Genomic DNA, 27,970 nt, shown 5'->3' with positions numbered 1-27,970 from the left:
AAATGTTAAACCATCCATGCATCTCTGGAATAAACTCCACTTGACCACAGTGAATGATTTGTTTAATATGCTGTTGGATTCAGTTTGCTAGCATCTCGTTAAGAATTTTCACATCTATGTTCACTGGAGATCCTAACCTGTAGTTTTTCTTTGTTGTTATGTGATTGTTTGATTTTGAAATCAGGGTAATTCCAGCCTCGTAAGATAACTTTGGAAGTATTCCTTCCTCTTCAATTTTTTGGAATAGTTTGAGAAGAATTGGTATTAGTTCTTTATTAAATGTTTGGTAGAATTCAGCTGGGAATCTGTCCAGTCCTGAGCTCTTCTTTGATGGAGGACTTTTTATTACTGATTCAATGTCCTCAGTCATTACTGACCTGCTCAGATTTTCTATTTCTTCATGGTTCAATCTTGACAGGTTGTATGTGTCCAGGAATTTATCCATTTCTTCTACTGTAGTTTGGATATGGTTTGTTTGTCCCCACCAAATCTCATGTTGAAATTTGGTTTCAATATCAGAGGTGGGGTCTATGGGAAGTGTTTGGGTTATGGGTACAGATCCCTCATAAATAGATTAATGTCCTCCCTTGGTGGATGTAAGTGAGTTCTCATTTTATTAGTTCTCCCCAAAGCTGGTTGTTAAAAAGCTTGGGATCTCTCACTATGGGATCTTGCACCTTCTGGCTCCTCTTTACCTTCTGCCATGAGTGAAAGCAGCCTGAGTCCCTCATCAAAAACTGAACAGGTGCTAGCACCATGCTTTTTTGTACCTGCAGAACTGTGTGCCAAATAGTCCTCGTATCCTTATAAATTACCCAGCCTCGGGTAATCTCAAATGGACTATGTTATCAAATTTGTTGGCATATAGTTGTTTAAAGCAGCCTCTCATCATCCTTTGTATTTCTGTGGTATCAGTTGTAATGTCTCTTGTTTAATATCTAATTTTGTCTTCTTTTATTTCTTAGTCTAGCTAAAGGTTTTTCAAGTTTGTTATTGTTTCAAGAAATTAACTCTTCATTTTGTTGATCTTCTGAATTTTTTTAGCTTCCATTTCTTTTCTATTCTGAGATTTGTTTCTTGCCTTCTACAAGGGAACAAAACATTTCTCTAGTAAGAGAAACCAAAGAAAAAGGCATGTACAAAATGCCTGAAAATTTCAAAACAATGATCTTAAGGAAACAGCCAGATACAAGGAACCCAGTAAAACAACGCAATGAAATAAAAACAATTCATGGGAAGTAGAGCAAGATTGTGGAATAGAAGGCTATACCATTTGTTCCCTCCACCTAGGAACACCAAATTTTAGCAACCATGTGTACACAGAAAAGCACCACCACAAGAGCCAAAAATCAGCACCAGCTCTGCCACAATGGGGTAGAACAACAAGCAGGCCCTTAGGGTCCCTGAGTCAAGGTCTAGATTCTTGCACAGCACTTCAAAACCTTCCCTGGGCCAGAGGGGAGCCCACTGTCCTGAAGGCTGAGTCCTGTGCCTGCCAGCATTCACCACAAGCTAAGAGAAAAGCCCTTGGGCTTTATGCCAACATTGGTGGTGGCCTAGTAGAGCCCCCCATGGATCAGTGGTGGTGGTGGTCCCAGGGAGAGGCTCCTCTGACTGCGAAAAGGGGAGAGAAGAGCAGCAAGCACTTTGCATTGTGGTTTGAATATCAGCTTAACTGCAGTAGAATAGAACATCAGGTAAGTTGCTAAAGTTTTTGATTCTAATCCCTGGCTCCCAGACAGCATCCCTGGACACATTTGGGGCCTGGGGAAACTTGCCATTCTGAAGTGAAGGGCCTTGGGCAAGGCTCAGTACTTTACAGGCTTCAGGTGTGACTCAGCATAGTTCCAACAGTGGTGGCCACAGGTGTGCTTCCTCACCACACCCCAGGTTCCAGGTGGCTCAGCACAGAGACAGAGACGCTATATGTTTGGCAGAAAGAAAGGGAGAAGAACAAGAGCCTCTGCCTTGTAATCCAGAGAACTGCTCTGGATCTCAGCCAAGACCACCAAGGTGCTACCTCTATGAGTCTGCAAAAATCACAGTGTCTTGGGCTTGAGGCCCAAGTGCCTTTGAATACTTGGAAAGTCTTCCAAAGAAGGACAGGCACAAATAAGCCCAGACTGTGAAAACCACAATAAATACCTAACTCTTCAATGCCCAGACACTGACAAGTATCTACAAGCATCAATACCATCCAGGAAAACAAGACCTCACCAAATGAACTATATAAAGCACCAGGGACCAATCCTGGAGAAACAGAGATGTATGTCTTCTCAGAGAATTCAAAAGAGCTATTTTGAAGAGACTTGAAGAAATTTAAGACAACACAGAGAAGGAATTCAGAATATCAGATAAATTTAACAAATAGACTAAAATAATTAAAAAAGAATCAAACAGAAATTATAGACTTGAAAAATGTAGGCGACATCATGAAGAATGCATCTGAGTCTATTAATATTGGAATCGATCAAGCAGGATAAAGAATTAGTGAGCTTAAAGATAGGCAACTTGAAAATACACAGAAGAGACAAAAGAGAATAAAAAGCAGTGAAGCATACCTACAAGATCTAGAAAAGACCCTCAAAAGGGCAAACCTAAGAGTTATTGGCCTTAAAGAGAAGGTAGAGAAAGAGATAGGGGTAGAAAGTTTATCCAAAGGGATAATATCAGAGAACTTCCCAAACCTAGAGAAAAAGATAAACATTCAAGTACGAGAAGGTTATAGAACACCAAACCAATTTAACCCAAAGGAGACTACCTCAAGGCATTTAATAATCAAACTCTCAAAGGTCAAGGATAAAGAAAAGATCCTAAAAGCAGCAAGAGAGAGAGAGGGATATATATATATATATATATATATATATAGAGAGAGAGAGAGAGAGAGAGAGAGAGAGAGAGAGAGAGAGAGAGGAGAGAGAGAGAGAGAGAGAGAGAGAGAGAGAGAGAGAGAGAGAGAGAGAGAGAAAACAAATAACATATAATAAAGCTGCAATATGCCTGGCAGCAGACTTTACAGTGGAAACCTTACAGGACAGGAGAGAGGGGTATGACATATTTAAAGTGCTGAAGGAAAAAAAACCTTTTACCCTAGAATAGTATATCTTGCGCAATTATCCTTCAAAACTGAAGGAGAAATAAAGACCTTCCCAGGCAAACAAGAGCTGAGGGCTTTCATCAATGCCAGACCTGTCCTATGAGAAATGCTAAAGGAGGTTCTTCAATCTGAAAGAAAAGGATGTTAATGAGCAAGAAGAAATCATCTGAAGGAACAAAACTCACTGGTAATAGGAAGCAGACAGAAAAACACAGAATAGTATAACACTGTAATTGTGGTGTTATAAACTTCTCTCAAGTAGAAAGACTACAGGATGAATCCATCAAAAATAATAACTGTAACTTTTAAAAACATAGACACTACAGTAAGAAATAAAAAGAAACAGCAAAAAGCTAAAAGGTGGCAGGGGCAGGGGTGAAGTTAAACGGTAGAGGTTTTTGTGGGGTTTTTTTTTTTTGCTTGTTTTTCTTTTTGTTTCATTTTGTTTTTTTGACATAGGGTCTTGCTCTGTCACCCAGACTGGAGTGCAGTGGTGCAATCAAGGCTCACTGCAGCCTCAATCTCCCGGGCTCAAGCGATCCTCCCATCTCAGCCTCTCAAGTAGCTAGGACTACAGGTACACACCACCACACCTGGCTAATCTTTGTAGTTTTATTGTAGAGACAGGGTTTCACCATGTTGCCCAGGCTGGTCTCAAACTCCTGTTCTCAAGTGAACTGCCTGCCTTAGCCTCCCAACATGTTGGGATTACAGGTATGAGCCTCCATGCCCAGCCAAAAGTGTAGTTTTTCTTAGTTTTCTTGTGCATGTTTGTTTGGTTGTTATACAATCAGTGTTGTTGTCATTAGTTTAAAATAATAGGTTATAAGATAGTATTTGCAAGCCTTGTGGTAATCTCAAATCAAAAAGCATACAATGGATACACAAAAAATAAAAAGCAAGACATTAAAGCGTACCAACAGAGAAAATCACTTTCACTAAAAGGAAGACAGAAAAGAAGAAAAGACCCGACAACCAGACATCCAGAAAACAAATAACAAAATGGCAGGAGTAAGTCCCTACTTATCAATAATAACCTTAAATGTAAATGGACCAAACCCTCCAATAAAAAGACATAGACTGGCTGAATGGACGAAAAAACAAGACTCGATGATCTCTTGACTATAAGAAACATACTTCACTTATAAAGATACACATAGACTGAAAATAAATGAATGGAAAAAGATATCCCACACGAATGGAAACCAAAAAAGAGCAGGAGTAGCTATACTTATATAAGACACTATAGATTTCAAGACAAAAACTGCAAGAAAAGACAAAGAAGGTCATTGTATACTGATAAAGGGGTTAATTCAGTAAGAAGATACAATAATTGTAAATATATATGCACCCAACACTGGAGCACACAGATATATAAAGTAAGCATTGTTAGAGCTAAAGAGAGAGATGGAGCCCAATGCAATAACAGCTAGAGACTTCAAGTCTTCACATTCAGCATTGGACAGATCTTCTAGACAGAAAATCAATGGAGAAACATCTGACTTAATCTGCACTACAGAACAAATGGACCTAATAGATATTTACATTTATCCAACAACTGCAGAATACATATTTTTCTCCTCAGAACAGGAATCATTCTCAAGAACAGACCATACGTTAGGTCACAAAACAAGTCTTAAAACAGTCAAAAAAATTGAAATAATATAAAGGATATTCTCTGACCACTATAGAATAAAACTACAAATCAAAAACAAGATAAACTTTGGAAACCATACAAACACATGGAAATAAACAATATGCTCCGGAATGACCAGTGGGCCAATGCAGAAATTAAGAAGGAAACTGAAAAATTTTTTGAAACAAATGATAATGGAAACACAACATACCAAAACCTATGGGATACAGCAAAGCAGTACTAAAAGGGAAACTTATAGCTATAAATGCTTACATCAAAAAACAGAAAAAACTTCAAATAAATAACCTAATAATTCATGTTCAATAACTAGAAAAGCAAGAGTAAACTAAACCAAAATTAGTAGAAGAATTAATAAAAATCAGAGCAGAAATAAATGAATTTGAAATGAAGAATATAATACACAAGATCAATAAAACAAAAAGTTGTTATTGATAAACAACATTGACAAAACTGTTAGCCAGACTAAGAAAAAAAGAGAGAAGATCCAAATAAATAAAATCAGTGATGAAAAAGGAGGCATTACAACTAATATCACAGAAATTCAAAGGATCATTAGTGACTATGAGTAACCATATGCCAATAAATTGGAAAACAGAGAAGAAATGGATAAATTATTCAAAATTAATGTAATATAAAAAATTAATTTACCAAGATTGAACTGTGTAGAAATCTCAAACCTGAAGAGATTAATAACAAGATTAAAGCCATAATAAAAAGTTTTCCAGTAAAGAAAAGCTTGGGAGCTGACAGCTTCACTGCTGAATTCTACCAAAACATTTACAGAAGAACTAATACTAATCCTATTAAAACTGTTCTGAAAAATAGGGGAAGAGGGAATACTTTCAAACTCATTCTATCATTATCCTGATACCAAAGTCAGATAAAGACATATAAAAAAAGAAAACTATGGGCTAATATCTCTGATGAATATTGATGTAAAAATCCTCAATGAAATACTAGAAAACCAAATTTAATAATATATTTGAAATATTATTCATCATGACCAAATAGGATTTATTCCAGGAATGCAAGGATGGTTTAACATATGCAAATCAATAAATGTGTTACATCATATAAACAGAATAAAGGATAAAAACCATATGTTTTTTTCAATTGATGCTGAAAAAGCATTTGATGAAGTTCAACATCCTTCATGATAAAACCCTCAAAAAACTGGGTATAGACGGAACATATATCAACATAATGAAAACCATATAAAACAGACCCACAGCTAGCATCATACTGAATGGGGAAAACCTGAAAGCCCTTTCTCTGAGATCTGGCACATGAAAAGGATGTCCACTTTCACCACTGTTAACCAACATATAACTGGATGTCTCAGCTAGAACAATCAGGCAAGGGAAAGAAATAAAGGTCATCTAAATTGAAAAGAAAGAAATCAAATTTTCCTTTTTTTGCAGATGATATAATCTTATATTCAGAAAAAAAACCTAAAAATTCGACCAAAAATATTATAACTGATAAATTCATTAGAGTTGCAGGATACAAAATCAACATAAAAATCAATAGCATTCCTATATGTCAAGTTGAACAATCTGAAAAAGAAATTTAAAAATTAATTTCATTTACAATAGCCACAAATAAAATTAAATACTTAGGAATCAACTTAAACAAAGAAATGAAAGAGCTCTACAACAAAACCATAAAACACTGATGAAAGAAATTGAGGACACAAAAATGGAAAGATATTTCATGTGCATAGATTAGAAGAATCAATATTTTTAAATGTTCATACTACTCAAAGCAATCCATAGATTTAATGCAATCCCTATAAAAATACCAATAACATTCTTCACAGAAGTAGAAAAAACAATCCTAAAATTTATATGGAATCACAAAAGACCCAGAATAGCTAAATCTTTCCTGAGCAAAAGAACAAAACTGAAGGAATCACATTAACTCACTTCAAATTATACTACAGAACGACTGTAATCAAAACAGCATGGTACTAACTTGGTACTATCTACAGACACTTAGACCAATGAAACAAAAAAGATAACCCAAAAAACCAATCCGTACACCTACAGTAAACTCATTTTCTGACAAAGGTGCTGAGAACATACTTTGGGAAAAAGTCTCTTCAATAAATTGTTCTGGGAAAACTGAATATTCATATGCAGAATAATGAAACTTAATCCCTATCTCTCGCCTTATACAAACATCAAATAAAAATGGATTAAAGACTTAAATTTAAGACCTCAAACTATAAAACTACTACAAGAATATTTTGTGGAAACTCTCCAGGACATTGGTCAGGGCAAAAAATCTCTTGCACAATACCCCATAAGCACAGGCAGCCAAAACAAAAATATATACACCTACTACGTACCTGCAAAAATTTAAAAAAAAAAGAAAATTTAAAAAACAATTCAGGATCTGGATGATAAACTCCCCAAGTAGATATATATCATTAAAATGAACCAAACAGAAATCTTGGAGCTGAAAAATTCAATGAATGATATAAAAAATACTACTGAGAGTATAAAAAATAAACTAGATCAAGCAGAAGAATTTCTGAACTTGAAGACAAGGCTTTTAAGATAATCCGTCAAAGAAAAAAAATAACAATTTTAAAAAATGAAAAAATAAAGCCTATGGAACTTAACAGGACATAAATAAGTGAACAGGTATTTCCGTCAGAAGAATGTCAGATGGAGAAGAGATGGAGAAAAGCACCAAAAACCCAAAAACCTGTTTAATGAAACACAGACATACCTCCTTATATTGTGTTTTGCTTTATTGTTCTTCACAGATTTTGTTTTTTGGGTTTTTATTTTTAACATATTGAAGACCTGTGGCAAGCAAGTCTATCTGCATCATTTTTCCAACAGCATGTGCTCTCACTTTGTTTCTCTGCAGCACGTTTTGAAAATTTTCAGAATATTTCAAACTTATTATTATTACAGTTGTTATAGTGTCCTATGATCAGTGATCTTTGATGTTACTATTGTAATTATTTTGGGGTGCCACAAACAGCGCCCATAGAAGAGGTCAAACTTAATTGATAAATGATGCATTTGTCCTGAGTGTTCCACCAATCAGCTGTTCTCCCATTAGTCTCCCTTTCCTTGGGCCTCTGTATTCCCTGAGACACAAGAATACTGAAATCAGGCCAATTAATAAGCTTACAATAGCTTCTAAGTTTTCAAGTGAAAAGAAGAGTTTCATGTCTCTCACTTTAAATCAAAAGCTAAAAATGATTAAGCTTAGTGAGGAAGGTATGTCAAAAACTGAAACCAGCCTCTTGTGCCCAACAGTTATCCAAGTTGTGAATGGAAAGGAATAGCTCTTGAAGGACATTTAAAATGCTATTCCAGTGAACACACAAATGATAAGAAAGCGAAATAGCCATTTTGATGATACGGAGAAAGTTTGAGTGGTTGGGATAGAATATCAAACCAGCCAAAACATCCCCTTAAGTCAAAGCCTAATTCAGAGCAAGGCCTTAACTCTCTTCAATTCTGAGAGGGGCGAGGAAGCTTCAGAAGAAAAGTTGGGAGCTAACAGAGGTTCCTTCATGAGGTTTAGGGAAAGAAGCCGTCTCTAAATCATTAAAGTGCAAGGTAAAGCAGCAAGTGCTGACGTAGAAGCTGTAGCAAGTTATCCAGAAGATCTCACTAAAATGAAGGATGAAGAGGGCTACACTAAATAACATTTTCATTGGAGAAAAAACAGCCTTATATTTGAAGAAGAAGCCATCTAGGACTTTCGTAGCCAAATAAGAGAATTCAATGCCTGGCTTCAAAGCTTCAACGGAAAGCCTGACTCTCTTATTAGGGGCTAATGCAGCTGGTAACTTTAGGTTGAAGCCAACGGTCATTTACCAATCAGAAAACCTTAGGTAATTTAAGAATTATTCTAAATTTACTCTGTGCTCTGTAAATGGAGCAACAAAGCCTAGATGACAGTACATCCGTTTACAACATAGTTTAATGAATATTTTAAGCTGACCATTGAGACTTACTGCCCAGAAAAAAGGACTGCTTTAAAAATATTACTTCCCATTTACAATGCACTTAGTTACCCAATAGCTCTGATAGAGATATATAAGAATATTAATGTTGTTTTTAAATATGCTAATATAACATCCATTCTGCAGCCCATGGATTAAGGAGTCATTTCAACTTTGAAGTCTTATCATTTAAAAAATACATTTTGTAAGGCTATAGCTGCCATAGACAGTGATTTATCTGATAGATCTGGTCAAAGTAAGTAGAAAACTCTCTGGAAAAATTCACCATTCTAGATGTCGTTAAGAATATATGTAATTTGCTGGGTGTGGTGGCTCATGCCTATAATCCCAGCTATCATCCCAGTAATTTGGGAGGCTGAGGTCAGAGGATTGCTTGAGCCCAGGAGTTTGAGACCAGCCTGGGCAACATAGTGAGATCTTGTCTCTGCAAAAAACAAAACAAAACAAAACCATACATATATATATATATATATATATATATATATATATATATAACAGAGACAAGATCTCTGCAAAAAGGTCAAAATATCAACATGAGCAGGGGGTTGAAAAAAATTTATTCAAACCCTCATGGATGACATTGAGGGGTTCAAGACTTCAGTGGAGGAAGTAACTACAGATGTGGCAAAAAAAGCAAGAGAGCTAGAATTGGAGCCTGACAATATGACTCAATCACTGCAATCTTATCATAAAACCTGAGTGGATGAGAAGTTGCTTCTAATGAATAAGGAAAGAAAGTGGTTTCTTGAGATGGAATCTACTTTTGGTGAAGATGGTGTAAACATTGTTCAAATGACAACAAAGGATTTAGTTTATTATATATACTTAGCTGATAAAGCAGTGACAGAGTTTGAAAGAATTTACTCCAATTTTGAATGAAGTTCTACTGTGAGTAAAATGCTATCAAATAGTATCACAAGGTGCAGATACTTCATTGTTGTCTTATTTTAAGTAATTACCACAACCATCCCAACCTTCCGCAACCCTGATCCATAAGCAGCCATCAACATTGAGACAAGAACCTACACCAGCAAAAAGATTACAAATTACTGAAGGCTCTGACAATCATTAGCATTTTTTGGCAATAAAGTATTTTAAGTATTTTTTATTTAAGGTATGTACATTTTTAGACACAATACTATTGCATACTTAATAGACTATTGCATACTGTAAGCATAAGTTTTACATGCCGGGGAAAATGAAAAGTTTGTGTGACTTGCTTTATTGCAATAGTTGCTTTATTGTAGCGGTCTGGAACCAAACTCTCAACATCTCTGAGGTATTACAGACATATCAGAAAACTTCCCAAGTTCTAGGAGAGATATGGGCATCCAGCTTCAGGAAGCTCAAATTTGCTTTTCTTTTAATCTGTGCACTGCGCACTTCCTCCCTTATAAAACTATTCTCCATAAACAGCTGGCCTGGTGGGTTCTGAATCAAAGTTTAGAATTAAGTAGAAAGGGCTAGAAATTGGGATTCATGGGGCCACAAGTCCTCCCACAAGTGAAACATGGAGAAGTCTCTCTTCTCTGGACCCTCCTACTTGTATTTAGTGAATGACTCACTCACCCTCACAATGTTCATTTTTTTCCTACCCTCTCCCACTCATGTGTTTGTTAAAAGTGAATGAATCCTGTAATTTTGCAACCTTTCTCCGGAAACTATTACAAAAAAAAAAAAAGATGTTAAATGACTATCAAAAAAGTGGTTTAAATTTACCTGAAATGAGTTACAAAATGATGGAATGAAACCACACAACAGTATTTTAATTTCTATTTTTAATAGTCAAGATTTAATAACAGCTTATTTAAAAGGGCCTAAAGGTATATTTATTATTTGACAATTCCATTAATGTACTTAATACCGCACATTTTCACAATTTTCTTAATATATAACAAGTGATAATTACTATTTGTAGCTAACAGCCAAAAAATCTATACATTAATATTTAGTAGAAATATAGTCTGGTAACCTTTCATTATTCCACTTCACATACTCAATTTATTATAACTATAGATAAAATTCTACTGCAAGTAATTGACTTTCTTCACCCTCTCTTCTCTTTCTTGTAGATGTCATCTACCCTCCTTATTTCAACTGCCACCATCAGACATGTGACTTATAAATCTCAAACTTCAGCTTAGTTAGTTCTGTATTTTACCGGCCTATTGCCTGGTTTCACCTGCATGCCCTGCAGGTAGCTCTATCTTAGTATGTTTAAATAGAGTCTCATCTTCTTCCATCTTTCTTTCCCTAGACTAATTCCTTCTCCTAACCTCCTATAATGGTACCTCAGTTTTTTGGAGCTTCCACGCACAATCTTTTTTGAACGTAGATTTTTTTTCAATCCCTCTCCTCCTTCCTCCCTCTGTGATGTCCTAGTTATGTCAGGTTTTTCTTAGCAGTGAGTCCTTTCCTTTCTAGCCTCACCTCCTTACCCTACATTTCTTTTCACGTACACTGCTATATCATTAATAACCTTGAAACACTGCTCTGATTATTTAATTCTCTTATTCAAAAACATCCAGGTGCTTCCTATCAAATAAATGTGCTTCAAGCTCGTTTATCCAGGCTCTACTGCCAATGACTCTTATTTTTCTTTTGCTTGGTTTTTAAAGTGCTTTTATATAGATCATATTATTTGTTACTCAAAAAACATGCCATAAGGTAAGAAATTCAGGTAAAAATATGCTCATGCTTCAAATGAGGAAAATTGGCTAGAGAAGAAAGCTGGATTGGTTAAGAAGAAAGGTTGTTTGATCAGGAATTATTGGCTGGAAAATTGCAAAAATTTGTCTACAGCCCAGGACTCCTAACTCCCAATCCAAGGAGCTGGGCATTAAACCTTCCACATAAAAAGGGAGCCTGGCCAAACTGGAATGCTCACTGTGCCCAAAAGCCTTTCCCTCCCTCAAGCTTTCTCTCATGCAATCTGACAATACGTAGCCTTATTCTTCATTCATCTACATCCTTTTCATCTTTTAAATGCTTCATCTGTTCTTCCTCTGACTCAGAATGATTCATACAATTGCTTTTAATCACACTCTGCTCTCTTAGTCTTTTTACTGTTTCAAATTCTTACTAAAATAAATTATTCTTGTTTAGCTTTTTACATACTTAGCTTTTCCTTTCAAACAGATTTTAAGTATTGTGAGTTCTTGGCCTATATTTTAAATGTCTTTGTATCCCCCCACATACCGTATTTAGTATGTGCAGAGCAAAGATTTGCTACATGCATGTAGTTTTTGACATTGGATATTTTTTAAATGGCAAGATATTTTATACATACTGTTTGATTTATTTTGATTTTTGTTTTCAGACTATAATATCTACATTTTTCTATCTAGTATCCTTCTCATGTGGAAAAATTGGTATAATTTTTACTATTCAGTGAATCCCTGGAATGCTTTCACTTTGTTGGCACTTGCTAATCATCAACTGACTTTCAGCGAATTGTTAGAATCATCAACTATATTAAATAGGCTACCAATGGCTACATTGCATTAATATTCGGAGAAATTAGAAACTCATTTTTCTACTTTTTGATTTTTCATTTTGTTCTAACTCAAGTATACCAAATACAGAATGTGACTTTCTCAAGTTGTTACTTTAAAGGAATCTGGCCATTTCTTATAATGACTGTTCTGCCGTTAGTTTTTGGGAGCTTGCAAGCGTAATGCAAATAATTGTATTCAAACAAAAACAGATGGTGATTAGGTCTTTCAGCTAGGCACAAATGAATAAAAAAATTTCATTCACACACCCACCATACCATGATGTATTTTTCTAGCACTAGAAATGTTTTCTTCTCCAAGGTACTCCTGCTGTTGAGAAAGCTTTTCTGATGTCAGTAAGCTTTTGAACAGCACTGAACTGAGTTACATTTACCACAGAGCTCACCATGTTGCCTTTTACATGTGCCTGGCTTATATCTAGTATGGTAATTTTTGCAGGGTGGTCCAGGAAGCAAGCCACTTTAGCTAAAACCCCTGCGGGTTGTCACACAAAGGCAGAGAATAGATTCAGTTTGAATGTTCCTTAATTACCTTCCTAAGACTGACAGTAAAGATTAGTGAAATATTGTTAACACTGACTTAATACTGACCCTAGTGAAACAATACTGCGTATTAAATTGTAAAATTACTGAAGTACTGAGGACCAAAGACATCGATGTCAGATGTTTGATATCTGCACAAAATGAGAGCATTGTTCTTAACATCAGTTGTGTTGCTTGTGTGTAAACATGCTGCAGTACAAAAATTTTAGCCGTGTCTTAAAGACGCGACACAGGTTTCATCAAGACCTGTTCCTGTACTTCTAGCGCCCCTGACCTACTTGCACACAGTTAAGAGTTAGCACAGAGAAAAGCTTTGGCCTCAGCTGGACTTCTCAGACATTGCAACTAAGAGAAGTCACTAGTAAGGCAGGGCTTGATCTTCCACTCTGTGAGCACAAAAACATAATTTCATAATTTTATTGAGAGGTAATATAGCTTTAGAGAACAAATTCACATGTAAAATTTCAGATTTGCCCTGAGTTACAAAGTTATAAGGAGGTCCAGAGTTCAAGAGGGCTGACTAGATGCAGCTAGTACATGCCTCATCCATGGAAAGAAACCGAAATAGCAAATATTCAAACTTTGAATAGACAATCTAAGGGACCATATTGGGATTCAACAGAGAAGCAATGGGAAGCACCAAAAGCAAAGAAGGAGAGGGAAGCAAGGCAACCTGCTCAGCTGGGATTGGCTGGGAGCTGGGAGAACCTCCCACAAGTGCGGAAAGGGTAAGTGACAGACCCCCAGGGCTCCATATTCCCTCTACAAACTTTCACAATCCCAGCTACAGGAGACCCCTCGACCTATATGGGGCTTGTGATTGTCATAGGGAGATGCCTACAGGTTGCACAGAGGCATTGCTCTAGAGAGGAAACTTACGCTGAGTACCACAGGCTTCTGAGCCTTCAGCAGCTACAGCTTGGTGCCATTCTGAGAATCAAACCCCCAAAGGACTGTGTCTTATCCTGGAGCTGATGCTGCCACTGCTGCTACCATGCCAAGGAGGGGCAGAGACAGGCTGAGCATCTTCACATACTTCCAGGAAAAATCTTACTGCCATTGGGGTGGGCTGTTGTGGGACTGGGGTGCAATCAAACTGCACTCCCCACAGCTACCTATCTATTCTGTTCCCACTGAGATAGCCCTGCCTTCCTGGTGGCAGGCCCACAGGTGGGGATATCCTGAAAGCCCAGCCTCCAAAGGCCTGCGTTATGCCCTGGAGCTGGGGCTGATGTTGCCACTGCTGCTGCTGGGCCAAAAAAGGAGAGAAGAGGCCAAGCAGGTAATTGTCACTGTTGCCGGCTGCTGTGGGACTGAGGAGAAAGGAAACCATGCATCCCACAGCTACCTCCTTACTCTGTTCCCATTGAGAGTGGCCCCACTTGCCCTGGTGGCAGGCCCACGATAATCTGCTGTTTCCCACACCTGAGCACTCCACTGGTGGCGGGGGAACAACCCCACCTCGCTTATCAAAACCAGCACCTGAACACACTACCGGGGGTCCTGAAGACAAGTCTACCAGCCTGGTCCTGTCCTCTCAGTGTTTGAATACACCATCCAGGGGTCTGGAAATCATCCATCTCAGTTTGCCACTGTTGGAAGCTGAATAATGTTGGGATCTGAGGTTGGGGCAAACCAACCTGCCGATATCACCACAGATGACATCTACCCATATGTGCGTGCCCAATCTATTGCAGCCACCACAACAGACCTCTTGGGTTCCCACATTATATCCATGGTCCAGAAAACCAAGAACCCTCCCACATTCCTGGCCTACCACTGCCACTGATAGCATCTGAGCAAGCCACATGAAAGCCAACGAACTGGGCCACCATGACCCACTAATACTGGTACCAGCATATACTACCTTGGGGCCTACAGACAGGCATGCTTAGGTTACCACTGCCACCACTGGGGCTCAAAGACTGGCCTACCTAGCATCCTAGTTCCCAGAGCATCTTCAGCACAGCTTCTACTAATAATGATACCCTAGGCCACAGAGAAAATCACAGATACCATGGATGTTATTTACAGTCAATAAAATCATATGAATATTACACTACTGCATGCACTTAAATCAAAGGTAATGCACCCTCTCCAACCAAAACCATATATAGATCGTCAATAAAAAGTCATCACCTAAAAAAGTAAATTCAAAAAATTAGAAGCAATAGTTACACCAGATGCACAGATATCAACATAAGGACACAGGAAACATGAAAAAGCATGGAAAGAAATCTTCAAATAAGCATGATAATTCTCCAACAACAGACCTCTATCAAAAGGAAATTCACAAAATCCCAAAGAATTAAAAATGCTAATTTTAATGAAGCTCCGTGAGATACAAGATAATTCTGAAAAACAATAGAGAGAAATCAACAAAACAATTCAGGATATAAATGATAATTTTACCAAAGAAATAATTTTTTAAACAACCAAACAGAAATTCTGGAACTGAGGAATTCACTGAATGAAATACAAAATACATTCACAAGTTTCAACAATAGAGTAGATCAAGTGGAAGAAAGAATCTCAGAACTTGAAGACAGGTCTTTTAAAATAATCCAGTCAGACAAAAAGAAAAAGAATGATCAATGTCTTCATGACATTTAGTACCAAATAAAGCAACCACATATTCAAATTATTGCTGTCTCTGCAGGAAAAGAGAGAATGAAAGGGTTAAAAAACCAACTTAATTGCTGGGTGTGGTGGCTCATGCCTATAATTCCAGCACTTTGGGAGGCTGAGATGGGCAGATCACCTGAGGTCAGGAGTTCGACACTAGGCTGGCCAACATGGTGAAACCCCATTTCTACTAAAAATATAAAAATTAGCTGGGCATGGTGGTGTGCACCTCTAATCCCAGCTACATGGGAGGCTGAGGCAAGAGAATTGCTTCAACCCGGGAGGTGGAGTTTGCAGTGAGCTGAGATTGCACCATTGCATTCCAGCCTGGGTGACAAAGTGAGACTCTGTCTCAAAAACCCTACTTAACAGAATAACAGACGAAAATTTCCCAAGTCTAGCAAGAGACCTAGACATTCAGATATAGGAGGCCCATATATCCCCAAACAGATGTAACTCAGAAAGGTCTTCTCCACAGCACATTATAGTCAAAGTGTCTAAAGTCAAAGCAAAAAAGGATCCTAAAACCAGAAAGAGAAAAGCTTCTAGTCACCTATAAAGGAACTCCCATCAGACCAACAGTGGATTTCTCAGCAGAAACTTTATGTGCCCGGAGATAATGACATATTCAAAGTACTGAAAGAAAAAAAAGTCTGCCACTCAAGAATACTATATCTAACTAAATTATCCTTCATAAATGAAGAAGAAATAAAGTATTTCCTAGATAAGAAAATGCTGATTAAATTCATAACCACTAGATTGGCCCTACAAGAAATGTTCAAGGGATCCCTAAACTTGTAAGTGAAAAGACGACTTTCACCATCATGAAAACACACAAAACTGTAAAACTCATTTGTAATCCAAACTTACAAATGAGGAAAAGAAAGGACTCAAATGATACCACTACAGTAAAACACCAAACCACAACGACAAACAATAAGAGGGAAAAAAAGTAACAGATAATATATAAAATAACCAGAAAACAATTAGCAATATGACAGTAACAAAGTCGCATATATCAATCATAATTTTGGAAGAAAATTGATTAAATTCTCCACTTGAAAGATACAGACTGGCTGAATGGATAAAGAAAAACAATTCAAATATATGCTGCCTATAAGAAATGCACTTTACCTTCAAAGACACATATAGATTCAAAATAAAGTGAGGAAAAAGATATTCCAAGCAAATGGAAACCAAAATAAAATAAGAGTAGGTATACTTATATTAGGTAAAACAGACTTTAAGTCAAAAACAGTAAGAAAGAAAGAAAGAGAAAGAAGGTCACTATATATTGATAAAGGGATCAATTCAACAAGAGAATATAACAATCCAAAATACATATGCACCCAAAACTAGAGCACCAAGATTCATAAAATAAATATTACTAGGTCTAAAGAAAAACACAGACAGCAATACAATAATAGCAAGGGACTTCAACACCCCACTCACAGCACTAGACAGATCATTGAGACAGAAAATAAACAAAGAAATATTAGTTTTAAACTAGACTACAGAACAAATGATCCTAACAGATATTTAAATAACATTTTATCCCACAACTGCAGAATATACATTATTCTCATCATTACATGGAACATTCTTCAGGATAGACCATATGTTAGGCCACAAAACAAGCCTCAACAAATTTTTTAAAAGAAAAATTTTATCAAGCATCTGCTCAGACCATAATGGAATAAAACTAGAAATCAACAAAAAAGGGACTTTGGAACCTATACAAATACATGAAAATTAAACAACATGCTTCTGAATGACTATTGCAAGGAAAAAATTTAGATAGAAAAAAAATTTCTTGAAACAAATAAAAATGAAAATACATAAATTGTGTGATAGAGCAAAAGTAGCTCTAAGAGGGAAGTTTATAACAATAAATGCCTACATCGAAAATGTAGAAATACTTCAAATAAACAACATAATGATGCGCCTCAGGGAACCAAAAAGCAAGAACAAACCAAACCTCAAATTAGCAAAAGGAAAGAAATAATAAAGATCAGAACAGAACTGAAGAAAACAGAGACTAAACAAGAAATAAACCCACACAAAGAATCTGTGAAAGAAAAAGTTGGTTCTCTGAAAAGCTAAATGAAATTGATAAACCTCTAGATATACTAACCAACAAAAGATAGAAGACCCAAATAAACAAAATCAGAAAGGAAGAAGGAAACTTTACCACTGACATGACAGAAATACAAATGATCATCAGAGACTATTATGAACAACTACAGACTAACAAACAAACTGGAAAACCTAGAGGAAATGGATAAATTCCTGAAAATATACAACCTACCAGGATTAAATCAGAAAGAAATAGAAAATCTGAACAGTTCAATAATGTGTGGCAAGATTGAATCAGTAATGAAAAGTCTCCCAACAAAGAAAAGCTCAGGACTTAATAAATTCACTGCAGAATTCTACCAAATGTATGAAGAAGAACTTAACAGCAATTCTTCTAAAACTAGTACAAAAAATAGATAAAGAAGGAATACTTCCAAAATCATTATCAGGACAGTATTACCCTGATTTCAAAACCAAATAAGGACACAACAACAATAACAACAAAACTATAGGCCAATATCCCTGATAAACATAGATGCAAAAATTCTCATACTAGCACATCCAACAGCACATCAAAAAGATAATACACCGTGATCAAGTGCAATTTAAAACAGGGTTGCAAGGATGGTTCAACATATGCAGATTAATAATCATGATACATCACATCAACAGAATGAAAGATATAAACCATATAATCATCTCAATAGACACAGAAAAGGCATTTGAGAAAATTAAACATCCATCATAATAAAAATGCTCAACAAGACTAGGAATAGAAGAAACTTACTTCAAAATAATAAAGGCCATATATAACAAACCCACAGCTAACGTCATGTTCAACAGGAAAAAGCTGAAAGCCTTTCCTCTAAGGTATAGATCAAGATAAGGATGCCTGCTTTCACCACTCCTATTCAACAAACTACTGAAAGTCCTCCCCACAGCAATCAGGCAAGAGAAAGAAAGAAAAGGAATTAAAACTGGAAAAAAAGTAAGTCAAATTGTCCCTATATTCTGATGACATTATTTTATATCTAGAAAACCCAAAGACTAATGTTGCTGGCTAAATTGGATATCTATATGCAGAAGAATGAAACTGGACCCCTGTCTCTCACCATATACAAAAATCAAGTCAAGATGGATTAAAGACTTAAATATAAGACTACTATAAAACTATAAAAACTAAGAACTACTATGAAACTATAAAACTACTAGGAAAAAAATGGGGAAAACTTGGGAACATTTGTCTAGGCAGATTTTACAGCTAAAACTTCAAAAGCACAGAGAGAGAAATGAAAATAGACAAATGGGGCTATATTAAATTAAAAAGCCTCTAAACATCAAAGGAAATGATCAACAGAGTGAAGGGACAAACTATTGAATGGGAGAAAATAGTTGCAAACTATTTATCTGACAAGGAAGTAAAATTTAAAATATACATGGTATTCAAACAACTCAGCAATTTTTTAAAAAAATACAAATAATCCCATTAAAAACTAGGCTAAGGAGATGATAGACATTTCTCAAAAAAAGATATACATAGCCAACAGATATATGAAAAAATGTGCAACATCACTAAGCATCAGGGAAATGTAAATCAGAATCACAATGAGACAGCATCTTACCCGTTAGACTGGCTAATATTAAAAAGACAAAAAATAACAGAAGCAGGTGAGGATGCGGACAAAAGAGAACTCACACCCTCTTGGTGGAAATGTAAATTAGTACAATCACCATAAAAAAACAGTATAGTAAGCTGGGTGAGGTGACTTACACCTTTAATACCATGCTTTCAAAGGTAAGGTGGGAGGATTGCTTGAGTCAGGAGTTCTAGACCAGCCTGGGCAACATAGAGAGACCCCATCTCTACAAAAAATTTAAAGAAAATAGCCAGGTGTGGTGGTGTGCACCTTAGTCCTAACTACTCTGGAGGCTGAGGCAGGAAGATTGCTTGAATCCAAGAGTTCAAGGCTGCAGCTATCATTGCACCACTGCACTCCAGCTTGTGAAACATAGCAAAACTCTGCCTCAAAAAAACAAAACAAAACAAAAACAGAAACAAACAAAAAACCCAGAAAAAACAGTATAAAAATTTTTCAAAAAACTAAAAATAGAACCACCATACTATCCAGCAATCCTAGCACTAGGTATTTATCCAAAGAAAAAGATACCTATATATCAAAGGAATACCTGCACTTGTGTGTTCATTGCAGCACTATTTATAATAGCAAATATATGGAATCATCCTAAGTGTCCATTGACAGATGAATAAAGAAACTATCATGTATACTTATGAATTCACAAGCAATCAAGTGCATTATATTCACAGAACTGAAATATGGACATGGCATGAGAGAATAACCATAGTCATTTTGTAGGGGAATGGGGCTGGGGGGTTAGGGAGGTACTTTTTACAGTTGTTAAAATGCCTAGCATCAGAATTGCCATCCTCTGTTTTGGGGAACTTCCCCATTATCTGAGTCATGGTGGAATATAAAGAATATCTCATGACAACAACCAAAAAGTTCAGATAATTACTTTCCCCTACCATCTGAGTTAGGATGAAGACACAATACCCAGCCCCAGTTCTTTACCAGAACATTGACTGTAAAGCAAGTGACATGAGTAATAATGGCAGAGAGAAATTGCTCTGGAAGTAGCCACAGCAACATCCAGTTTCTAGGGTCATCCGTTCCAGAGGATCTCATAGGGTATCCTATATCCAGCTCCAACAGTGATGGCTCAAGTTCTGGTAGCCAGGGTACAACAGTTGCTGTACACAGTTATGGATGAGATCCAGGTACCTGTTTTCCCTTGGATTCTGCCCATTATCTAAACCTGATTTGCCAGCCACCTTAATGATTCTATGAGCTTCCCAACATCTTTTCAATAAAGTCTCATTTCGACAAAAAAAGAAAGAAAGAAAGAAAAAAGAAAGAAAGAAAGAAAGAAAACTATCGTGTATACACACAAGGGAATACTATCTGGCCACCAAAAGGAATGAAATCATGTCATTTTTCAACATCATGGATGGAACTGGAGGTTATTAAGTTAAGTGAAATAAGCCAGGCATGGAAAGACAGATACTGCATATTCTGCCTCGTAAGTGGGAGCTAAAGAAATTGATTCCCATTGAGACAGAGAATAGAATGATAGATACCAGAGGTTGGGAAGGGTATGTGGATGGGAGTGGGGATAAAGAGAGGTGTGTTTGTGAGTACAAATATGTAATTATACAGAACAAATTAGCTCCAATATTTGATTGCAGATTTGGGTGACTATAGTTAGCAATGATGTATTGTATATTTCAAAGTAGCTGAAAGAGAGGACTAGAGATGTTACCAACACATAGAAATGATAAATATTCAAGGTGATGAATATCCTCCAAATATCCTGAACTGATCATTGCACATTCTATGCATGTAACAAATACTCACATGTACCTCATAAATATGTACATTTTTGTATTAGTAAAAAACAAAAGAATTTTTTTAAAGTTACAAGGGATTCATTTATCTTTAGTCAGGGAATAGTTGTTTGGTTGATTCCTCATCTAGTATACCCACTACCAGAAAAGAACACAGCAATCAGAAAAAAAAAAATATGTTGGAAAGCCATATAGGACACCTCATCCAGGGTGTACAACAGGCTTGAACATTTTCCCTACTCCAACTGCAAATTTTTAGTGACTGCAATATTGGCTACCCTCAGAAACATCTCCTTCTTGACCAATGTTGACCTATATGTTTTTGGACCATTTTTTTCCGGATTCCATGCCAATTTCCTCCCTTCAGTGAGATCATTAGGTAATACTTATATTTTAATCCTTTTGAGGAGATTCAGGATTCATTACAGCCTAGTGGTAATGCACATGTTATCTGAGGTAAGCAGACCTAAATTTAGGACATATATTCAACACTTAACATTTGTGTGATCTTAAGTAATTTTCTCCAGGTCTCAATTTTTCCATCTATCAAATGGAGAAGATACTTATACCTATATCATAAAGTTGCTTTGAGGTTTAACTGGATTATTCATGTAAAGTCCTTAGTATATAGTAAAGTGGTCAAAAGTGGCAGCTGTTAGTATTGTATGTGTAGTATTGCATATGAATGAAATTTGACTTTCTCCCCATTGAACTGGGCATTCTTCTCTCCATGCTGAACTGATAAAACTGCACACACAGTACTGTATAGCTAGCAATGTTTTTATCATGTATAAACAATATGCATGACAGATAAAACATCAAGATATCAATTTATTAAAAAAAAACGAAGAATACACAGGTAAAACTAGTATCCCCATTTCAAACCCATGGAAACTGAAGCTTAGACATTAATAAAATTTGACCAAAAAGCTAGTAAGATAAGAAGTATACCAACAAAGATGGTCAAAAAGCAAATTCCTCTAAAATAAAGTTAATCTTTCCTATTATTTCAAAAATTGGTGAAATATTTGCACGTGGTAAAGAAAAATACACAAAATAAGCTGGTTAAAATCTTTTAGTAAGCAACAGGAATAAACAATGACATAGCTTGTCACATGCTGAATAGTGCAGAGTTAGGCATGTTTTATTAAACTCAGACACTGAGATGTGTTTGGTTCTTAGATTCTTTTTAGCACCTTCTTTGCTGGGATGGTCATACCCTTAATACTGACTATTCTATTTATCATTTGTCATCTTCTGTTTAGCATTCATGAAATCTATTCCTTTCCTTTAAATGAGAATTAGTGTAAATCCATCCATATTATAAATCATACTAGGTCCACTTTTGCAGGTCTCTTAAGTAATTTTATCTTTTCCTAAGATTTTTATCATTATCCATAGAGAGAGCTTGTCACAATGCCTCTAGCACAGAATGGTCTAGTGCAGAATTCCTAATCAGGCCTATATCTTCAGTTGCCTATTTGATATCCCGCATTTGAAGTCAAGCAGGCATTTCTTTCGTACTAGCATGCCTTAAATAAATTCATTGTTTTTTATTCCTAAGCCCATTCTACCTTTATTCTCCCCATCTCAGTGAACTGTACCACTCTTAACCCAACAGCTCTAACTAGAAACCAAAGCATCATCCTTCAGACTTTCCTGTCCAATCAATTACCATGACATGCCCATTCTTCCTCAGCACTATCTCTCAGATGCCTCCTGGTCTCTGCATCCTCATACAACCACCCTGTTCAGGCCACTGTCACCGATCACCTGTGTTGCTCCAACAGCCACCTGAGCTCTTCAATCTTTTCTTTGCATTGCAGCCAGAGCAGAGTGATATTTCTAAAATATAAATCTAATTTTGTCATTTTACCTAAAACCTTTTAGGTGTCACCTATTTCTATTGCAAGAATGAAACACAACTCTTTTATATGGCCACAGGGCCCTATAAGATTGACTCCTCGCCCACCTCTCCAAACTCTTGTTATTCACTCATTTGAGCTCTAGTTTTTTGCTGTATCCAAGCTTTCAGTTCCACGGAGGCATCCCATCCACTTAGCCAGTGCACTTGTGAATTTCTCACTCCAGAAACACACTTTCCTTCTCTCTTCACTGGGATACCTTGATATCATCCTCAAAGTTCAGCTAGAAAATAACATTTTTAAAGAAGTTTTTCCTGAACCTGGTTTGGGAAAGGTGTTCTTGTCTTAGTAGAGAACTTACCACATTTATTTTATGCTTGTCTGTTCACTTATCTGTGTACCCCCAAAGTCTGGAAGGTCCATGAATTAAGAGGCCATGGTTCTCTTGTTTGCTGTTATGTCCCCAGCACCTAGCCATGTGCAGGCACACAGGTGCTCAATTCACAGTTTTTGAATGAATGAGTGATATAAAATTCTCAAAAAATATTTATTGTAAAATAAAAATTTATTAAACTGCAATTCAACATTATCTAGATTCCATCTCATGATTTACTCCAACTAGGAAATCTTTCAAGTGGCAGGTTTCTTCTTTCAAAGAAAAAATTTGTGCGGTACATTATTAAGTCAAAAACTTCACAGTGTGAATTTATTTCAAATGGAGGGCACCACTGTATTTGCTTATACTTAATCATTTGATTTCAGGTAAATTTATTGTCTACTTTGTTTTATCTTATCCTTAAAAACCTTGCTATAGTGCCTCCCACATTACAGTACTGCAATGAAAATCGAATGATTAAAAAAAAATCCCAAATCAAAGTGCTTTGCATAAATGAGTGAATATTAGCTGCCTATAGTTGCAAATGTAGTAGTTTCCCCTTATCTGTGGAGGATACATTTTAAGACGCCCAAGTGGATGACTGAAGACACAGATAGTACCAAACCCTGTAAATACTAATAAATACATACATATAATAAGGTTTAATTTATAAATTTGGCATAGTAAGAGATTAACAACAATAATAAATAACATAGAATAATTATAACAACATATTAAAATAAAAGTTATGTAAATGTGGTCTCTGTCTCTCAAAATATCTTATTGTTCTGTACTGCAGGTAACTAATACCATGAAAAGGGAAACTGCTGACAAGGAGAGGACAATTGTATACACTCCAGAGACATTTTGATTCATGGAAAAATTGAAGGGACTTTTTTAAAATATATTTTTTGAGACCGAGTCTTGCTTGTTGCCCAGGCTGGAGTGCAGTGGTGTGATCTCAGCTCACTGCAACCTCCGCCTCCCAGGTTCAAGCAATTCTCCTGCCTCAGCCTCCTGAGTAGCTGGGATTACAGGCACGTGCCACCACACCCGGCTAAGTTTTTTGTATTTTTAGTAGAGATGCAGTTTCACCATGTTGGTCAGGCTGGTCTCAAACTCCTGACCTCAAGTGATCTGCCTGCCTCAGCCTCCCAAAGTGCTGGGGTTACAGGCATGAGCCACTGCATCTGGCCTAAAGGGACATTTTTGTTTTCATGGTTATCTTTGTATTATTTGTGTTAAGTATATGGTAGATGTAGTGATTTCCAATGACAAACAATAAGGACTTCCCATTAAATGACAAAAAATAGGGTTTGCTACAGTATGATAAAAGTAGATGAAGACATGAGGGAGGAAATATACTACTGGCAAAGTGCACTCACTCTTTACTTTAAAATACTTTCTGGCATTGAAAGTCAAGGAAGTGGTAAGATAGAAGCCAAATGAAATAAATATGTTGCTTTTGGCTTCTGTGCTTGATATGGCTTGGCTCTGTGTCCCCATGCAAATCTCACCTTGAATTGTAATAATCCCCATGTGACAAGGGCAGGACCAGGTGGAGATCATTGAATCATGGGGGCAGTTCCCCTATACTGTTCTTGTGATAGTGAGTGAGTTCTCAGAGCTGATGGTTTTATAAGGGGTTTCCCCTTTGCTTGGCTCTCACTCTCTCCTGCTGCCCCAGGAGGAGCTGCCTTCTGCCATGATTGTAAGTTTCCTGAGGCCTTCCCGGGCATGTGGAACTGTGAGTCAATTAAACCTCTCTTCTTTATAAATTATCCATTTTCAGGTATTTCTTCACAGCAGCGTGAGAACTGACTAATACAATGCTTTTTGTACTTTTGCTTTATTCTTCATACATGCACTTTTAGGGATGGTGGCCAAGGTAAGAAAGGGGTGAATAATCAAGATACATGAGAGACTTTTAAGCAGCAAATTCACACGTGGAAACTGAGTTCCTTGATGCTCTCACTTGAACAAATCCTGGCCTAGACTCTTTTCAACTGAGACACCAAAAAAGCATATCGACGAAGAGTTTTTCAGATGCTTTATATTAAAACATATATTTTTAAATGTGCTGTTGAAGAAGTACTGCATCTATTTTATTCACTGGTTCCAAATTAAATTTGTTGACTTTCCCCCTTCATTGAATCTCAGTCACTAGCAATCCTTGATGATCTATGAGAAGTAAGCTGTTTCAGTCATCGCCCAATTTTTCCTGCTTTGCCAAGTGCTCTTGTCCTTTTCACATGGGAATTTGGTTTATAATGGTAATTTTCTGTGCCCACTGACACCTTAATGGTGAGATTTTGTCTATGTGAATAATGCATTGTGGGAAACAATACAATGGGATTAATTAAAATAAGACTTCAAATAATCTATTTTGGGCTTGACTTGGATAAGTTTCAGTACAATAAAAGAAAAACGGGATTTGCATAATAATTAAATCACTTTGCCAAAAAGGTCATGTCTAGAAATTAAAGCTTTTAAGAGCATTTGTCTCACAAAATATTAGATTGATGCAAAAGTAATTGCTATTTTTGCCATTACCTTCAATGGCCAAAACCGCAATTACTTTTGTACCAACCTAATAAAAAGTTTAGTTGCCCCATCTTTGACTCAGCCATGGTATTCCTGACATGAGAACTGATGGTACAAATGGCAATTTAGTATTAGAAGAGTAGTCCATAAGCACCAATGCAGAAAACACTTCTGGACACATGTTATTTTCACTCAATAAAAGCTTTTCTAGTGAATTATAACAGCAATATTTTGAAGGATATACTTGAAAACCTTCCTCTCACAAACTCTGCAAATATAATAGAAACTCTTTTAAATGGAGGTTTTACAATAAAGTAAGAAATACTCTCACAAGACAGAATTGAAAAAAAAATAGAGTACTAGCTAAATGAGCTAATACTGTGGCTGTCCTGAGTGGGTTGCATTTGACTGCCCACACAGGAACAGGTGATGTAAAGTGGAAATTTGAAACTGAAACCCCACGAATAAAGTCTGGATACCAGAGGAGATGTGTGAGTTAGAATAAAAACCCATCCTCTTATGGAGCTTGTTGTTTCTGCCTAAATTCTGGACGGGGAAAAAATGTCTCAATAGGCCTCTCTAATACACAGATTTGGAGTCCTAATTCACATTATTTGGCACTGGAACTCCTCAAATTAAAAAAGAAAACATAACATAGAAATCGACCCTAGCAAATATAAAAGCAAAACTACTCTCAGGGTTTAATCCCTGAACTAGGATTGTATAGGCTTTCTACATATAAAATCTCATTGAAAGTCAATTCATAAGACAAAATTATTATATGCAAGGAAGTAATATACCATGAACAAGAAGCAGTTGAAGCGAAAAACATAAGATCTGGACCTTAGATCTTCAATAATAAAACTGCAACAAAGATTATAAAATAAATATCTAAATTATTAAATATATAAAAAAGAAACTATATGAAGAAAAAATAAAGCATGATAGAAAGTCAAAGATAAATATAAAAAAACTCCACACAGATCTTCTCAAAATGCAAATATAGTTATCAAAATAAATCTCAGTGGATGAGTTAAGTAGCAAATAGATATAGAGAGAATTAGCCAACTGGAAGGTAAGTCTGAGGCAAAAACAGAAATTAATGAAATAGAAAATAAAAAGAATAGAAATTTCCAAAAATTTCTATTCTTTTTTTTTGAAAAGTCAGAACCAAACATAGCTTTTTTTAAAAAAAAACTTGAATAAAATATACAAACTTCTGGAAAGATAAATTGAAAGAGAAAAGGAAAAGAGACAGACAGAGAGAGAGAGGATAGAAGAACATTATTAGTAATAAAATGGATACATAAATAGACATGCAATAGAGACTTTTAAGAATTTTATGATAATATAATTAATTTACAGTATTATTTTGAAAATGTAGATAATATACACAACTTTCTTAGGAAAAAATACATTAATAAAACTTAAGAAGAAATAACCATTTAAGGAAGCCAAACAATAGGCCAAAATCTAGCTACATACATACAGGCAGATTTATAATTTTACCAAACCTACAAAATTAAATTATGTCAATCTTATTTGAAGTTTACAGATTAAAGAAGGAAGATAGTACCTCAACTCAATTAATGAGGCCATTATAAACTTGATTCTAAAAATAAACAGATTTAAAGCCCCATATACATGCAAAAATACTAAAATGAAATATTCTTAAATTTAATCCAGCAATTTATAAAATTACATCATGAACAAGTAAGTTTCTTCAAGCATATATGGGTGGCTTAACACTAGTAAATCTAAAAATGCAATTCATTACACTAACAGATTGAAGGAAAAGATTATGTAATACGTTCAATAAATGCAGAAATTTTTAAAATGTTTAATACTTATTCCTGATAAAATCTCTTCTCAAACTAAATGTTTTCTTAACCTGATAAAATGTTACTAGAATCTTATAGTATACATTATTCTAAATGGGGGACCATTATAATATTTTCCTTTTCAATGAGAAAAAGACAAAAATGCCTGCTCTACTGCTTCCATCCAACATTATACTAAAGGGCACAATATGACAAAATAAATATGTAAAATGACGTTGAGAATTATCAAAGAAAAGACAAACTGTGATAAGTGAATGAAAAGAAATGATTGAGCTCTAAGTGCAGGTCCTAGGGACCGTAAGTCAATATTGTCAATTCTATAAAGTGTTGACATTTGATATCGCAGCCATTTCTTAAGTAACAGAAGATCTTCTGAAAGTATTTTTCACTGAAGTGCTATAAATCATCATTTAG

General features: G+C 36.0%; 1 protein-coding gene across 2 annotated transcripts in view, besides 1 other annotated feature; it reads right to left on the bottom strand.

Annotated features, from left to right (window-relative positions):
- FREM2 (FRAS1 related extracellular matrix 2) overlaps positions 1–27,970 on the bottom strand; it is a 200,055-nt gene that overhangs the window by 70,700 nt on the left and 101,385 nt on the right. The window lies entirely within an intron of this gene.
- Positions 11,503–12,004: an enhancer, noted in NCBI's record as "NANOG hESC enhancer chr13:39378565-39379066 (GRCh37/hg19 assembly coordinates)". NCBI's record gives its function as "activates a minimal SCP1, AML or CMV promoter by ChIP-STARR-seq in naive H9 embryonic stem cells {active_cell/tissue: H9 hESC(naive)}" and the evidence as "EXISTENCE:reporter gene assay evidence [ECO:0000049][PMID:30033119]".

Source organism: Homo sapiens, chromosome 13, assembly GCF_000001405.40.
Source record: "Homo sapiens chromosome 13, GRCh38.p14 Primary Assembly".
Lineage (NCBI taxonomy): Eukaryota > Metazoa > Chordata > Mammalia > Primates > Hominidae > Homo > Homo sapiens.
Note: the sequence above shows the minus strand (reverse complement) of the source record. Positions and strands in the feature narration are given on the sequence as shown.